Raw genomic sequence first — 18326 nt, forward strand, 5'->3', positions numbered from 1 at the left:
CAAAAGAAACTATCATCAGAGTAAACAGGCAACCTACAGAATGGGAGAAAATTTTTGCAATCTATCCATCTGACAAAGGGCTAATATCCAGAATCTACAAGGAACTTAAACAAATTTATAAGAAAAAAAAACCCATCAAAAAGTGGGCAAAGGATATGAACAGACACTTCTCAAAAGAAGATATTTATGCAGCCAACAAACATGAAAAAAAGCTCATCACTGGTCATTAGAGAAATGCAAATCAAAACCACAATGAGATACCATCTCATGCCAGTTAGAATGGCGATCATTAAAAAGTCAGGAAACAACAGATGCTGGAGAGGATGTGGAGAAATAGGAACGCTTTTACACTGTTGGTGGGAGTCTAAATTAGTTCAACCATTGTGGAAGACAGTGTGGCGATTCCTCAAGGATCTAGAACCAGAAATACCATTTGACCCAGCAATCCCATTACTGGGTATATACCCAAAAGATTATAAATCATTCTACTATAAAGACACATGCACATGTATGTTTACTGCAGCACTATTCACAATAGCAAAGACTTGGAACCAACCCAAATGCCCATCAATGATAGACTGGATTAAGAAAATGTGGCACATATATATCATGGAATACTGTGCAGCCATAAAAAAGGATGAGTTCATGTCCTTTGCAGGGACACGGATGAAGCTGGAAACCATCATTCTCAGCAAACTAACACAGGAACAGAAAACCAAACACCACATGTTCTCACTCATAAGTAGGAGTTGAACAATTTGAACACATGGACACAGGATGGGGAACATCACACACCGGGGCCTGTCAGGGTTCGGGGGCTAGGGGAGGGGTATTAGGAGAAATACCTAATATAGATGGTGAGTTGATGGGTACAGCAAACCACCATGGCACGTGTATACCTATGTAACAAACCTGCACGTTCTGCACATGTATCCCAGAACTTAAAAGTATTGAAAAAAAACCAAAACTTAAATGAGCACCCAAAATATGGATTATATAGAATTTTGTGTATGTGTATTTATTATACAAGATACAGTTTTTTCCTAAATGAAAAGCACACTCACACAGACTAAGCAATTCAATTTTAAAATTCCTGATATTTACCTGTGGCCTTTGCCATCTCATTGTTTCCCTTGTCCCAGCTTTCATTCTACATACTATAATTACAAACTTTTTAGAAAAAAAGATGAGTAAACAGATGGATGGGAAAGGATATGAGTACACAGGACAGAAGGTAAGGGATAACATGATTATTGGATATGTATTAGAATAAATTATTGTAATTCGAAACAACTAATAATTATTTAAAGATACTCTATTAAATATCTATTAAATAGATAATATTTGGTATAAAAACTAAGTTGGTTTTACCAGTAAAGATGGGAGCATGTTTGTACTATAATATTCAAGAAAAGTTATATGAAATTCAAGAGTAAGAGAAGGTGCCTGAAACTTAACCAAGGAGATACAAGAGGCATGAAATAGTAGGGTGAGGAAGGAGGGCTTACGAAGAGAATAAGTCAGTTGACAGTAACCCAAAATAGCAAGAAAAGAAATGGATTATTACTCAATTATGAATCACTTTGTTGTCTTTGTATTTGAATGTGATTCTCTTCTTAATCTTCCTGTTCATATTTCTGACTGTGTGTCTGCTTTTCATCTGACTAATTACCCTCTTAGCACACTTAAGTGCTCAAAAATAGGTACTGGTAGGAGTCCTTTTGAATAAAATGCCCCATATTTCAGCATCACCAGACCATCATTTTGTTTTTTCTTTTTTTTCTTTCTTTTTTTTTTTTTTTTTTTTGAGACAGACTCTTGCTCTGTCACCCAGTGGGGAGTGCAGTGGCATGATCTCGGCTCACTGCAAGCTCCGCCTCCCGGTTCACGCCATTCTCCTGCCTCAGCCTCCCGAGTAGCTGGAACTATAGGCACCCGCCACCATGCCTGGCTAATTTTGTTTGTATTTTTAGTAGAGACGGGGTTTCACTGTGTTAGCCAGGATGGTCTTGATCTCCTGACTTCATGAACCGCCCGCCTTGGCCTTCCAAAGAGCTGGGATTACAGGTGTGAGCCACCACGCCCAGCCCATTTTGTTTTTTCTTTAACCAAAATCTTCCAAAAACTCAGGAAGTGTCATTTTTTATTAACCACAGTAGACATATTTGCCTCTCAGTTATTGACACGACCTATTGTCATTGCACTCAGGAGAAATGTTTTCAAGATAGACAGGCTTTTAAGCGCCTAAAAGATGTGAGGCTGCCAGCTTGGACTGGGTTTTTGCTAATTTCCCTGGTATAATTCTTATGGTAACTTATAAAGCAATAATTTAGAATATTTGATCCCTTAGAAAAATTATTAAAAACCATTAAATGAGAGATGCCTGTTGGCTGGGTGTGGTGGCACACACCTGTAATCCCAGCACTTTGGGAGGCTGAGGAGAGAGGATCACTTGAGGTCAGAAGTTTGAGACCAGCCTGGGCAACATGATGAAACCCCATCTCTAGTAAAAATACAAAAATTAGCTGGTGTGGTGGTGCCTGGCTGTAGTCCCAGCTACTCGGGAGACTGAGGCAGGAGAATCATTTGAACCCAGGAGGTGGACGATGCAGTGAGCAGAGATCGTGCCACTGCACTCCAGCCTGGGCGACAGAGTGAGACTCCATCTCAAGAAAAAAAAGAAGTGCCTGTAATCCCAGCACTTTGGGAGGCTGACGTGGGAGGATTGTTTGAGCTGGGGAGTTTGAGGCAGCAGTGAGCCATGACTGCCACTGTACTCCAGCCTGGGCAATACAGTGAGACACTGTCTCTTTGAGATGGAAAAAAAAAAAAAAAAAAAAAGGCAGTCCTATAGGCTGGCTGTATCCTTTTCTTCACCATAAAATGTACATGACAAACAAAAGTGAGGAATTATCTATGGATAGTATAGCAGACATTGCACAATGCTAAACTGCTCTCAGGTCTTCCCTCTCTAAGCAGAGACCAATCTGCTGCCTTTGTATTACTCTGTGTTCCATATCTAACACACCTATCAATCCTAATCAACAAGATTCCTTTTCTTTTTGTCAGGCAAGTCAGATAATCTCTCAAGTAGGTACAGCCTTTCTTGATTACTAAAAAAATAAAAACTCATACCCTACCCTAAGGCCACCTTCCTGAAGTCTCAGGGCCTCTACTGCTGCTGAATTTTATATTGTAGCTTTTCAATTTTTATCACAAGCTCCTTCAGGAATCAGGATTTAGTTTGTGATTTAGAAAGTTCTGGCCACTGCCTGGGGTCATAGCTATTTCTACCACTTTCCAGATGTTTGCCCTTGTGCAAGTTAATGAACTTTTTTCACCTACATTATCTATGAAAAGTGAAAAATAAAGAGTACTTTTCTTGGTTTTCCATGGTGGCCCATGCCTGGAAGTTACCCCAGCACTTTGGGAGGCCGAGGTGGGAGGATCTCTTGAGCCCAGGAGGTCGAGGCTGCAGTGAGCCATGATTGTACCACTGTAATCCAGCCTGGGCAAGAGAACGAGACGCTCTCTGAAGAATGAATGATATACAGCACTTGGGCAGAATAGTGGTTGTCCCTGGCAGGGGTGAGTAGCACAACGAGGTCAGAATTAACTAGGAAGGGGTATGAGGAACCTCTTGTGATGCTGGAAATGTTCTATATTGATATGGGTTTGAGTAATATAGATCTATGTATTAGTTAAAATTCAGTGAATATACACTTAAAATTTGAACATTTCATTATGTAAATTTTACTTCAAAGAAAAACTACAGACAAATATTTAATCAATGTAATGAAATACATGCTGAAATATTTCGGAGAAAGTATGCTGACGTCTGCAGTTTACTTTGAAATACATCAAAAAATAGACTGACGGAGTGATAGACAGAGGGTGGAGTGATAGATACATGATGAAGTTAGTACAGTAGAATCATAGACTCTAGGTGGTGGGTAAACCAATGATCACTATAAAATTCTTTCAACTTTGCTGTACATTTGAAAAGTTTCACAACAAAATGTTAAAAAAAAATAGCACCTGATACAGAGTAAGCACTAGTCAATGATGGCAAATAGCTATTTTCAGCTGAAGAGGGATGAACGGGGGTTCAAATCACTGAATCTACTATAGATCTGTCAGGAAGGAAAGAGACTGCTACTTTTCTCATAAACCTTCATCCCAAATCACGATTTACCTAATTTAAAAAAAATTTTCTTTGGCATCTTTATATAAAAATGAATTACTAAAAAAAAACCAATTAACAACACATGATTCAGGTAGTTCTAGCTAATAGAGGTGACACATATAGGGAAAGCAATGATCAGAACAGGGTAGAAAGAGAAGATAAAAAGCAAATATAATTTTACTGTATGACAAATCTCCCTCAAATAGTTTTCTATTTATTGAATACTTCTCTATTTATTGAATACTTCTAATGATGTGCTATTTTTAAAAAATCCAACTTCCTAAACATATCTAAAAGGTGCTGTTAACAAATTCTGTTTTAGTGCTGAAAATGCTTCAATTTGTCATGTCTGATGAGGCAATATTAAAATATCAGATGATTTTATACAGCTCATGAGCTATAGGTGGAGGAAACTGAACAAGACACCATATGTACGTTGAGCTCCACAAGGTTAGTTGACTTAGGACCTGCAACTTATCCACCCAACAGGACTAAGTGCTTTCAGCAAGAAAGCAGACGTACAATAGGAAATGGAAAGGGAAAGGAAAGCTGGATGTGGGGTGGTAAATGCTCCTGGGAATTAACTTCAGGTTTCAGAATAATTGTTGGCACTCTTCCCGGCCTTTATATCTGGGTAAGATATTAAATATTGGCTTTAGGTACTGAATATCTGAAACATTCCTTATGCCTTTTGAATATACTCACAGTTTCTTTTCAAATACTTCACTTACTTGATTGTCATTTTCATTATCTTTGATAACCAAATACCTCAATAAATTTAATGAAGCCATAATCCTGTTAATTAAAAATATATGTTACTTACAGTATGGTTTTATATAGTCAACAGCAATCTCAATAAGCTAAAACTTTGGTCATATTTTTATAATTAGGTTTGCCAATAGAAACTATTTCCATTAATATCTTTTTGAGTAGTAATAACTTATCACTGTTTTCCATTTGTTTAAATCATACAATTGTGAAAATTATCATCCTTGTTTAAAGAAAGCCTTGTTATCTTTAATATTTGAGAGCATCATCTCTTGCTTTCTGAATTTTAAGATTACTTTTTAAATGCTTTAAACCATTTCTCAATATCCATTCCAGTATACTGAAACTGAAATTATATGTTCTATATGAAAAAAAAAATGACCTGGAAAACAATAAAACAACAAAACCTAAACACATAAATTACATACACAGATTTTTAGTTTTAAGTCACAAGTGCTGTCATTGCAAATTTCTATGGAATGCTGGGTACATAAAAGCTATCAAATCATAGTGCTGGTCATTCATCTAGAAAGAGGAGGTTTTAATTTTGTTTCTACACATTATCAAATCACTTAAATATGAAAAATCTTTATGTAACTTAATGAATTAGCCATAGATCATAAAATCACAGGAAAAGACATTTTATTACTTTAGGTTCCCTAAGCAGATGTTTCACATTTTATTCTGAATTTACTATGTGAACTTTGGTAATGGTCACCTCACCTATCTGAGTTTTGCAGTAAATCTGTTTCTGCACCCTCTGGGAGAAAAAGTACCAAATCAAGAAGGGAAATCAACTGTGGTCCTGTAAACCATTTGTTGTTACGTGTTCTCTGAAAAGCAAACGAAAAATTGAGAAAGCTTTATAATTCATGTAATTCATGTGTTTTTCTAATACCTTGACACTACAAAAATGAAGAATTGCACATTTAAAATACAGTTTTTAACTTTAATTTCCGTACTTTCATTCACTTTCCAGACACCAGGAACGAACCCTGCCAGTTTGAGAACACTGGTCACTCTGTTTTCCATTTAGAATTACTGAGCACTCAGAAACAGAAGAGACTTAAGTTTCCATTCATTTTTGAGAAGCATATAACAAAGCAAAAATAAGCCACAATATCAGCTCAAAGAGGCCCAGAGTGATGACTCACACCTGTAATCCCAGCATTTTGGGAGGCCAAGGTGGGTGGATCACTTGAGATCAGGAGTTCAAGACGAGCCTGGGCAACACAGTGAAACTCCATCTCTACAAAATCAAAATTCAGCCAGGCGCACTGGTGGACACCTGTAGTCCCAATTACTCGGGAGGCTGAGTTGGGAGAACTGCTTGAGCCCAGGAGGTGGAGGCTGCAGTGAGCTGAGATCATGCCACTGCACTCCAAGCTGGGTGACAGGCGTGAAACCCTGTCTCAAAAAAAACAAAAACAAAAACCAAAACCTCAAAGAATACAATTTAAACTTATAGTTAACTAAATTTCCAAATTCAGAGTTTTTAAAACATAGTAGAAATAGGGGAAAAAATATGCCTTAATAATATTTAAGTAATAGTAATACTAGAGATAGAGCAATAACTCACATTAATGTATTCTACATATGAATAAATATACCCTACGAAATAAATTGGTAATTGACACTTTGGCTATGTTCTTACCTTTAATGACATGTCAATTTGATTTTTGATATTTTGAATAATAAAAGCCTCCACACCTGAGTGATTACTTGTATTCAATAAGCACCTTGAAAGCAAAATTACAATAGATGTGAAATTATCCTGGACAGCATTAGAATTAAATGGTGATAAAAGTTTTACAAATTCAAAGAGGCCATGTGTTACTTCTAGGAATAAAAACCCCACAGTAATGGTAATTAGCAAGGTCATCAACCAATTACAAAGTCACCTGTAATAGTTATTGCTCTCACTAAATGGTAAATTCTTATTTATTTTATTTTACTTTTTTAGACAGAGTCTCGCCCTGTCGCCCAGGCTGGAGTGCAGTGGCACAATTTTGGCTCACTGCAACCTCCGCCTCCCGGGTTCAAGCGATTCTCCTGCCTCAGCCTCCTGAGTAGCTGTGATTACAGGCGCCCGCCACCGTGCCTGGCTAATTTTTTGTATTTGTAGTAGAAACAGGGTTTCACCATGTTGGCCAGGCTTGTCTCAAACTCCTGACCTCGTGATCCGCCTGCCTCAGCCTCCCAAAGTGCTGGGATTACAGGCATGAGCCACCACACCCGGCCGGTAAATACTTATTTATAACTGGATCTTCCAACAAGCCATTTCTATCAAACCAAAATTTGAATATTTTTATGAACATAGTTACAATAATTTAACATGGCAAGAAAGGGCACTAACATAATGGTCTAAAAAATCCCCAAATTATTTCCTGTGAAAGTAGTCCAGTGCTAGAGTAGCTTAATTGCAAAAAAAAAAAAAAAACTAGATATGACTAGCTTAAGAAAAAAAGGGGATTTATTGGTAGAGATACACATAGAACAGAACAGGAAAGCCGGTATAATACCTAAGAATTGAGATTTCATAAACTTGCTCTTACTATCAATAGAAAACAAGAAAAGATAGAATCAAGAGTGTTGGCTGGGCATGATGGCTCATGCGTGTCATCTCAACACTTTGGGAGGCTGAGGTGGGTGAATCGCTTGAGCCCAGGAGTTTGAGACCAGCCTGGGCAACATGGCAAAACCCCATCTCCACAAAAAAATTAGCTGGGCATGATGGCATGCACCTGTAGTCCCAGCTACCTGGGAGGCTGAAGCGGGAGGATCACCTGAAGCTGGGGGGCCAAGGGTGAAGGCTGCAGTGAGCCATGATCACACTGCTGCACCCGCCAAAAAAGAACAGTACTAATATTGGCCAATCCCAGGTAAGACATTTTAGCAAATCCAGCCTGATGCCCAATTTTATCAATAAAGTTTTACTGGAACACACCCATCCCCAATACAAAGTCAAAGTTGAGCACTTGCAACAGAGACTGTATAGCCCATAAAACCTATATTTACTATTTGGCTCTTCACAGAAAATTAATTAGAAAGTTTACCAATCTTTAACTTAGAGAGTTGCTAGAATCTTATCCACCTCAAAGAGCAGTATTAGTAAGCTCTTACTATTAACATAGTGCATAGCCTATCAAAGTTGTAATTCCAGAGCCATCAATTTGAACTGTGAGTAATGGAGATTAGTGACATACATAAAGTTCCAGCAGGAGCATCATCAATCTCAGTTTAATTATTTTTAAGTCTATTTCAAATTTAGAGTATTCCAATTGATTGAACTGCAATATATACTATTAGTCATACAAAATATAGACATATATATAGTATGTCTGAAATATTTGATTAACCCTTTCTCTAGCCATCACTGAGAATTTATAATATGGGTTCCAACCAGAGTTGAATTACATGTAAAACATACCGACATACTATGCCCTAAAACAATTACATGGCATTAACATGACTTTTAATCAACCACACACTTAGCAATTAGCCATGCTTGATACATACCTAAATAATGTATATTTGCCTTGTGAATCCAACTTGTTAATATACAGCTGAAGCATAGCTAAACTCTTTTTCCTCTAAAATGGAACAAACAATATTATTATATAAAATGAATAAAGCTTACCCAGACTTCATCACTATCCATTTTATGCATGTAATACATCCACACTTGTACCTCCTAAATAAAAATTTCACAAATTAAAATTTTTAAAAAGAAAATTAAATTATTTGTCAAATTTTCTCACTGTAACTCATTATTCTTTAGTCACCAAATATTTACATACCAGTGTCTCAATGGGGCAAAGTGTCATTACTTTCACTAAGCCCTGGAAATAAAAAAATGTAAAATTCAGATGTAAACAGATTATACTGACTGCAAACAAACAACTATAATACATCAATAGGATACTAAAAATTCAGAGAAGTGAGGGTAGGAGATTTAAAAGTGAAGTAAATTAATTTTTCCCTAAGCCTTCCATTCCAGAAAGCTAACTACAATTGATTTTTTAAGTGATATTGAGTAGAGTGTCACACAGTGTACTTTTAAAAGCAAACGATAATTTTCAATTATGTCTACAGTGGCAAGAAAATGAAATCAAATCTACAGAAATATAATTTATTAATTAAAAACAATCAAACAATATGTTAACAAAAACCATGTTTTTCTATTTAAATATTAGGAAAACCAGTTCCCACACTGAAATCTAAGGATTTCCTTGGATATCATAACTAACAAAGAGGATTGGGCAAAATAAACCATAGGAGGGAAAAACACAATGTGTATTAGTCTTTCTGGTAATGAGTCAGTGGATGCCTTAGATGGAGTCCTGAGAACTTGAGTTATGAGAAACATAAAGAAGCTTCATTTTCCAAGATCCCTACAGAAATAAAGTGTTAAAAGAAGAAAGTTATGCTTTTCTACTGGATGCTGTGCTATCAATAATGGTGGCCTCTAATAGCTATTCGTGTTTAAATAAATTAAAATTTAAATTTGAAACTTAGTTCCGGCTGGGTGTGGTGGCTCACACCTGTAATCCCAGCACTTTGGGGGGCTGAGGCAGGCTGATCACGAAGTCAGGAGATCGAGACCATCCTGGCTAACACAGTGAAACTCCGTCTCTACTATAAATACAAAAATATTAGCTGGGTGTGGTGGCGGGCGCCTGTAGTCCCAGCTACTCGGGAGGCTGAGGCAGGAGAATGGAATGAACCCAGGAGGTGGAGCTTGCAGTGAGCTGAGATAGCACCACTGCACTCCAACCTGGGCGACACAGCAAGACTACACCTCAAAAAAAAAAAAAATAGTTCCTTAGTCACATTTCAAGTGTTCAGTTTGGCTAGTGGCTTTCATATTGTCAAAGTTCTACTGGACAGCATTACACCAGAGTTTTCAAAGGTTGCAGAGAAAAGAGTGGGAAAGGAATCAGAAAAGACCTTACTTTAAGTTCAGAACAGGCAAAGGGCTATTTTCAATATTAGAATACATATTTTATTTACCTGAGGTACAGTAAGAAAACTCTTGATTTCTAAGTACTGGTAAAGTAGACTATTGTCTTCTATTCTCAATAAACTATTCTCCAGCAGCTCCTACAGATTAAAATATATGCAGATACATATATAGTGAAGTCAACAGCTGTTATTTGTTGACATAACTATGTATTTAAGTTATAATGGGAACAAACATCTTACCAATCCTTTGGAGATAACAGACTCTTCTGTTCTGAAAAATAATATTAAAATTTATCATGAATTTGTAAACTATTTTAGAATGATACTTCATCTTATGAAAAATACAGCAAAAACTGAAATTTTAACACTTTTAAAATGCATATCATTAAGGAGAAATTCTGTTGAAGAACTTGATCAAAAGTTTTAATCCATCTTTGATCTGTCTTTCGGTTTGGCTAAGGCCACTAAATCTGACCAAAATAAATCTACTCAGGGATTATTTCCTAACTTCAAAACAATAGATCTTCAACAGCAAGTGCTAAGAAACTAACTAAACCTGATATAACCAATGCTATATATTCCAGTTGATTATTCTGTAAAATCTTTCCAATTCTTTTTATTCAAAAAAAGACTCAATGACTCTGCAGTTTGGAAATCTCAAGAATTTAGGACTTAGATTCAAAACAATACATATTATCACTGTATGAATAACAGAAACTAAATGTAATGAATATAAAATCATTAAAACATACATAATACAGCAAATTTACAGAATTAGTAACTACTTGTGCCAGGAGACCCTTGGAAATTCCTGCCTTGTATGCTGAAGCTTTGGACATTGCCATGTTACAAATCTTCCTTCACCTGGTAAGAGATGGGACTGATAAACTGTCACTAGTGTTCATAGAGGATAATTGCAAAGCCCTAACTGATCTCAGGGGATAATTTAAACATGTTACATGTTATAGTGAAAGAAAACAAAGCATATAGTTCTGTGAAATTCTTTAATTTCTGTCTAGAAATTATGTATACCTGTTACTCTGTAATTTCCTTTTTTTTTTTTTTTTCTTTTGCGACAGGGTCTTACTCTGTTGCCCAGGCTGGACTGCAGTGGCATGATCTCTGCTCACTGCAGCCCAGACCTCCCAGGCACAGGTGATTCTTTCACCTCAACCTCCCAAGTAGCTGGGACAACGGGCAGGCGCCACCACTCCTGGCTAATTTTTTCTATTTTTTGTAGAGAGAGAGACTGGTTTCGAACTCCTGGGGTCAAGCAATCCTCTCGCCTTGGTCTCCCAAAGTGCTGGGATTATAGGCGTGAGCCACCGTGCCTGGCTTTTTTTTTTTTTTTTTAAATAGAAAGTCCTGCTGCTTAGCACCTCAAATGAGAAAAGTTGTAATTGAATGACATCACTGTCAATAATCTAAATTATAAAAGGTGGAAGTCAAGACACCTCCTTCCTTTTGATGCAATTCACAGACTGTGTCCATGAAGGAAAAATACGGAAGAACTTCTTTTATTGACTGCCCTTCCTTAAGATGGAGGAGGATGCAGTGGGGTAGAGGTGTTTTAATTTACCAACTTTTGGAGTAAGAGAAGAAACCTTAGAAACAGATGACTGTAAAAGCCCTTAAGACAAAATCTTAATACTGTCTTAAGTTTAAAATAAAACAGACTTTGGTGTAAAACCTCCTTGACTCATTTCTGTCTCTCTCGTGAATTATTTGCCTCGCTGTTTTATAAAATAACCAATTAATTAATTAGAGCTTAGCAAAGAAAAGGCAGTCTCCGCTGATCTTAACAAGGACTATTTTAACACTACTATTTCATTTTGAGATACCATCTAAACGATCTTACCTTTGCAAAAAGACTTCAATGTGCCCCATATTAAACTGCAAAAGGTACAATGGGCTAAAATAGAAACAAAACAAATATATATATTATACACACACACAGAGATATGTACACACATACATATTGTTATGGGTTGAATTGTATCTCCCCCAAAAAAGATATGTTGGAGTCCTAACCTCTAGTACCTCAGAATTTGACCTTATTTGGAGATAGGGTTATGGAGGTAATCAATTTAAAATGAGATTATTAGGGTGGGCCCTAATCCAATATGACTGTTGTCCTTATGTAAAAGGAAAGTTTGGAGACAGACACAAGCACACAGGGAGAACAGCATACGAACATGAAGGCAGAGAACAGGATAATGCATCTACAAGCCAAAGACCATCAAAGATTGTGAGCAAATCACCAGAAGCCAGGAGAGAGGCATGGAGAAGATTCTCCTTCACAACCCTCAGAAGGAGCATCCAGAACTATGAGACAAACTATTTCTGTTATTTCAACCATCCAGTTGGTAGCACTTTTTTACAGGAGCCCTAGCAAGTTAATATACATATGCTGTATAAGTTATTTTGGTGATAGAATGTGATGCTTAAGAGTATAGGCTCTGGGGTCAGACAGAGCTATCTGCATCCCACCTATGCCACAAAGTAGTTAGATCTTCAGTGGTATATTAACTTGTCTAAGCCTGTTATTTTCATCTGTAAAATGAGAGAATGCTCTATTTCACAGGCTTATTATAAGGATGAGATAATGCATATAAAGTTATTAGCATAATGTTTCATACATGGTGAACATGCAAATGATAGCCAGTATTTCAACATTTACATACGAATGTACTCCTAGCTATATTCATATATAAATGCACAAACTCACACAAATACCCAATGCCTATAAGACAAATACACAATCCTTATTATCATAGAACTCAAAGTCCAGAAGATATTACATTATAAAATTATATATTTTAAAAATAATTTTAATAAACATTGTGGGAAAAGAAGACAAGGTCAAGGTAATTATAATAGAAGGATTCAACCTAAATTGGGTGGTGAGTGAAGGCTTTCTTCAGAAAGTGACATTTAAGGATAAAGAGAATTTTAAGCATATACAAAGGCCAAATAGGAAAATTCATAACATTTAAACTAGAAACAAAAGAAGGTCTGTGTCACTGGAGCATAGTAAACAAGAGGAAAGGTGGTAGGAGATGAATCAGGTCAATTAAGCAGGGACCAGACCAGGCACAAGTTTGTCTCAGAAGTTATGCAAAGGCATTAAGACTTTATTCTTAAAGCAATAAAAAGCCACTGGAGGGTTTTCAGTAAGGGACTTCTTTTAAGGCTTCGCTTTCTGGTATGTTGAGAATGTGTTAAATTAAAAGGAAGTAAAAGTAGATATATAAATCCACTCAGGATTACAGCAGTAATCCAGTGAAAAGATGATGATACCCCTGGGTACCTGGCTAGTTCCAGGGTGGTCTCAAAAGCTTCAAAACCAAGCCCTGTTTATCATCTTCTGATTCTTGTCCCCACCATTCCCTTACACCTATTTCAACACTCCCCACTTTCATTACTTGTCTACTGCTATCTTTAACAGATTATAGCTGGGATCATTCTTATTAAAAATAGCCTTTACTATTTATTTAAAATGTATTAGTGTGTTAATATGCATATATTGGACATTAGATAAATGAGAATTTTATGAAATTCCTTTTAGAATACATGAATAAACCAAACACTAACTCTTACCTTAAGACCATTGGAAGCTGATCAATATGGATGCCCTGTACAAATACTAGATATGCCAGAGAAGCCATTGAGTCTGCTAACTGTTTATTTTCTTCTTCTTCAAATTCAAGGTAATTCCAAGTTCTCTTTTTCCTTCCATGATTAAAAATCATTTTGGGGAAAGGGTGTCCAATTGCTGATAAAAAACCCTATGAAATGGATAAAAAAGGAAACCATAGCACACAGACTCTAAAATGCCCCCCACCCCGTGTATTCAAACTCCACATTCTCACCAAGGGGAGGTGTAATCACTCCCTTTGAGCGTGAGTGGGACCTATGAGACTTGCTTTCAACCAACAGAATGCGCCAAGATGTCACTCCCATGATTAGATTATATGACAAAAGTGAAGGGGTTTTTGCAGATGTAATTAAGGTCCCAAATCAGTAGATTTTGAGTTGGGTGGCCCTAACTTAATCAGGTATATTTTTAAAGGGGGTCCAGGCCTTCCCTGAGAGTCAGAAACTTTGCTCTCTGACTCTCTCCCTTGCTGGCTTTAAAGAACTAAGCTGCCATGTTATGAGAAGGCTCATGGACAGAACTACATGGCAAGGGACCAACTACAGGCAGCTCCTAGAAGCTAAATGTGGTCCCTGGCTGACAGCCAGCAAGAAAATGGGGACCTCAGTCCTACAGCTTAGAGGAAATGAATTCTGCCAGCGGAGGAAACCTGAAAGTGGATCTTTCCCCAGTTAAGCTTCTGATAAGACTACAGACCCAGTCAACAACTGGCCTGTAGCCCAATGAGACCCTGAGCAGAGGACCCAATTAAGCTGTGGCTGGACTCCTGATCCATAGAAACTGTGAGATAACAAAGGTATGCTGTTTTAAACTGCTAAGTTTGCAGGAATTTGTTATACAGCAATGAAAAACTAATACAGAAGCCAACAGCAAAATCGTATTTTACATAGCATTTTATACATCAGAAGTATTCTAAATTAATTCAGAATCATAGTTTAAAAAGTTTAAAATGATGAATTTTATGTATATTTCACCACAATTTTTTTTAAAAAAGTGCTTCAGGGATATTTGAGAGCAATCTGAAACGTGAGACATACAAATATATGAAGCAAGGGTAAAGCAACTAAGATGAAGAATACTCTAGGAACAATGCTCCACTAACATTGTGCCTGTAGAGAGTGGGATGCAGGAACGCTGGGCAGGGCAGCTGGGCCTGAGGAAACACTGTTGATCTCTCAGTCATCAGGGTTCTCATGTGAGACGAGAAAGAGAAGCATCCTTGCATGAGTGGGTAGGACCACAGGGCTAAATAAAGCTTTCCGCTCAGGAAACAAGATCACTCCTATGCCTCTTATACTGGTACTAATTCTAGCGTACCAGAAAGCACCTACCTTCAGAATCCACTGACATTGATTTTGAGTTTTGGCTCTACCATTTACTACTTGTGTGACACTGGATGAGCCATAAAATGACATAATACCTATGTCAAATATTTATCGAGCAGCTCCACAAAAAAAGCGTAAGAAAGTTAAAGTCACAACAAACTACAAGAGTTAAAAGGGAATGAATGACAAAAACAGCTAAAGCAGAATGAATAACTTCCACACAAGTCACTCTTTTATTCAATAAACACTTAAGTGCAAGGTGCTGGGCCTGACTTTGTGGGGAATTATAAAGCCAAGTATAAGTCTTTTCCAGCCTTCAGGGACTTAAAATCTGCTGATCCCAGATGGTTCCATTAGTCATTTCAGAATACAAAAAGGAACCATGGAAAATCATCCTCAGTCACAAGAGACTGCTATTCAGCGACCAGATGCTAAATATATACTGCTGCAGTGATTTTCAAAGCCATGCATTCTGGTTATAGCTACAAGACAAAAAGTTTATTGCACTCTGATTCCAAATGTCCTTAATCATGAAGCTCCATTTCTTTATTCAGCCAATGCTACATGTGTTTTTTCCAGAGTAAGGTAGCCCTGTTTTTTTTTTTTTTTTTTTTGGCGACAAGGTCTCACTCTGTCACTCAGGCTGGAGTGTAGTGGCATGATCATGGCTTACTGCAGCCTTGACTTCCCCAGGCTCAAGCAATCCACCCTCCTCAGTCTCCTGAGTAGCTAGGACTACTGGTACATGCCACCATGCCCGCTATTTTTTTTTTATTTTTTTTATTTTTTATAGAGATGGGGTTTCGCCATGCAGCCCAGGCTGGTCTTGAACTCCTGGGCTTAAGTGATCTGCCCACCTTGGCCTCCCAAAGGCCTGGGCCTACAAGCGGGAGCTACCGTGCCCAGCCTAAGATACCCTTTTTAAAACATTATTATATGCAACTAGATTCTACAGTGCTGCTCTGGATATCTGAGATCCAATCTGTTCCCAAATCTGGGCCTTCACTATCTATCCACACACCATCCAGCAGTCTTGCTCAGATCCAGGCTGTACCTGGCACCATACAATTTCTCAATATTCATGGCAGCTTTTGTCCTTTCAGAAATGTTCCTGTACTACAGCCTTTGGGACATTCTAGTAGTTCTGTACCAAAATAACTTGTACCAAAGTGAGGATGGCTGAGGCCTGTGAATCCCAACCACACCACACTTACCAGTACTTCTCCAGCACAGAACAGAAGACATCTCCTCATTTCATCTCCAAGCTGGTCTCACCTCTACTTCTAGACTGCTACGTGCATCCTTACTGCTGGCTCTTTCTACTTGCAATGTTCCTTCTACTGAGATTTTAGAACCACTCACCTACATCCTCAGTCTCTTCATAGGATGCTTGTTCTGCCTCACTGCTTTAACTAAACCTGTCTGATTTCTGGTGGGAGATGCTCATTCTCACACCTTTTATACCACAGGGCCTGGAATGCAGCTGTTGGGTAGAGGAGTACAGGTAGGGGCTTAGCACAGTATTGTAGTATTGGCTTTTTCTGTACTTTTCAACAAAAGCACATTTTCCTTTGATGCAGATAACATACTGTCCTTTTCTCTGTCATATGCTGACTTCCTGGTAATTTCCTGACATTCACTGAAGACTCTGGCACCTTCTCATAATCTTTTTCTCTACCCAATTCCTGCTATGATCCTGGGAAAATTCAATGTTCATGGAGATAACCCCTATAACAGGCTAGTCTCATGGTCCTTTATTATTATTAATTTATTTTTCAATCAAGCAACAAGTCATTGCATCCACTCTCATGGTTCTCAATTTCTAAATTCTAGTGACTTTTAGTTCTAATCCATTTCAGTACCTAATCCCATGCTGGATCTCTGAACATCTGGAACTATTCTGTATTTGATACTTTAAACTCCAATATCCCATTTTCTGACCAAAATCTGTCATCCTGTCTCTCCTAGCAATCTGCTTTTCTACTTCTGACTTCTCCAGTCCTGTGATTCCTACATTTTGACCTACCTAGGCATTCCCTCCTAACCCCCCTTCTTTCCCTATCCAACCTGAATCATGGATTATTGACCAGCTGAACTATCTGCACCCTGTATTTCCTTCAGCAGTATCTACCCAGTAAAATGCCAGCCTTGGAAAAATAACTGCAATCTACCTTCTCTGCTTCTACACACAGGGAGCTGAGTATTGCTGGATAAAAAAATACAGACTGTTACCACTATAGTTGTGGTTTCCAAGCACCATTGAGTGCTCAGTACTACTGACTCATGCTTCCGTGGTCTTCCACCATCTCTTTCCTTTCCCCTCAGTATTCCAAACCTTTACCAGTTTCCTTAAGCCCTTTTACTCAATGCCCATTTCTACCTCCTCATTATTAAGAGATCATCTCTCCTTCACCTAGAAATCTGAGGCCAGTGGGTTTGACTCCCCTCAATTGTAAGATTCCATTCCTGCTACAAATTTCTCAACATGTTTTCTTACCTTGATACCCACTAGTTCTTCCTGTCTAGGACTTTCCTTATGGCCTTGATACTATGTCCAGCCATTTGCTCATAAGCCACATTATTTCAGTTATCTCATAAACACTTGTATTTTTCCCTCAACAGTTTGCACCCCAACAGCTATAAACATGCTCAAGTCTTCCCACCTCCATTACCTTCCTACCCTTAGCTCATGTCTTCTAGCTATTACCTCTCCTTCCTTATTCATCCAACCTCTTTTAAAGAATAGCTTACACTAGTCATCTCCTTTTTCTCATCTGTCATTCATTCTTTTATCAACTCCACTCTGATTTGTCTCCAACACTGTACTTACACTGTTCTTGCTAAGATTACCAATGCCATCTTACTTCCTAAATCCTACAGATGCTTTTCAGCATACCTCTATGCATTTAACAGTACTGATCACCTCTATCCTTCTAAAACTCTACTACACCAGTTTCTGTGTATTTCTACCACTTCCGACTTCCTTCTTGGGCTCATTTTAAGTGCTGGTACTCTCTAGAGTTCACTCCTGAGCCCTTTTCTCTTGTCACCTCTTTAGGTAATCTCACCCCCTCTCATTCAAAGTATCTCCTGGCCAGGTATGGTGGCTCAGACCTGTAATTCCAGCACTTTGGGAAGCCAAGGTGGGAGGATCACTTGAGCCCAGGAGTTCAAGACCAGTCTGTACAACATAGTGAGACTTCACCTTTACAAAACAAAAATTTTAAATTAGCCAGGCATGCTGGGGTATGCCTGTAAGTCCCAGCTACTCAGGAGGCTGAGGTGGAAGGATCACTTGAGCCTGGGAGGTTGAGGCTGCAGTGAGCCATGGTTGTGCCACTGCACTCCAGCCTAGGCCACAGAGCAAGACCCTATCTCAAAAAATATATATACACATTTACATATAATTCTATATTAAATATAC

The 18326-nt window shown here is 38.0% G+C and overlaps 1 protein-coding gene across 14 annotated transcripts in view, besides 1 other annotated feature; it reads right to left on the reverse strand.

The window, feature by feature from the left end:
- GLMN (glomulin, FKBP associated protein) overlaps positions 1-18326 on the reverse strand; it is a 124443-nt gene that overhangs the window by 11544 nt on the left and 94573 nt on the right. For 7 of the 14 annotated variants that reach the window (XM_011540546.3, XM_005270401.4, NM_053274.3 and 4 more), the window contains 9 exons: positions 13520-13707; positions 11778-11831; positions 10160-10190; positions 9968-10057; positions 8755-8796; positions 8474-8547; positions 6609-6693; positions 5678-5787; positions 4918-4981 (listed from right to left, as the gene is read on the reverse strand). In XM_011540546.3, the coding sequence (XP_011538848.1) occupies positions 4918-4981; positions 5678-5787; positions 6609-6693; positions 8474-8547; positions 8755-8796; positions 9968-10057; positions 10160-10190; positions 11778-11831; positions 13520-13707 (738 nt within the window). Of the gene's footprint in view, positions 1-4917; positions 4982-5677; positions 5788-6608; positions 6694-8473; positions 8548-8594; positions 8649-8754; positions 8797-9967; positions 10058-10159; positions 10191-11777; positions 11832-13519; positions 13708-18326 lie in introns of those variants that run through there. The other 7 variants (XM_047442822.1, NM_001319683.2, XM_017000138.2 and 4 more) reach the window with 4 other exon arrangements.
- Positions 14064-14264: a silencer, noted in NCBI's record as "peak316 fragment used in MPRA reporter construct". NCBI's record gives its function as "represses an SCP1 promoter by STARR-seq MPRAs in K562 erythroleukemia cells {active_cell/tissue: K562}" and the evidence as "EXISTENCE:reporter gene assay evidence [ECO:0000049][PMID:32103011]".

The sequence above is a fragment of the Homo sapiens genome, chromosome 1 (genome assembly GCF_000001405.40).
Source record: "Homo sapiens chromosome 1, GRCh38.p14 Primary Assembly".
In the NCBI taxonomy this organism is placed as follows: domain Eukaryota; kingdom Metazoa; phylum Chordata; class Mammalia; order Primates; family Hominidae; genus Homo; species Homo sapiens.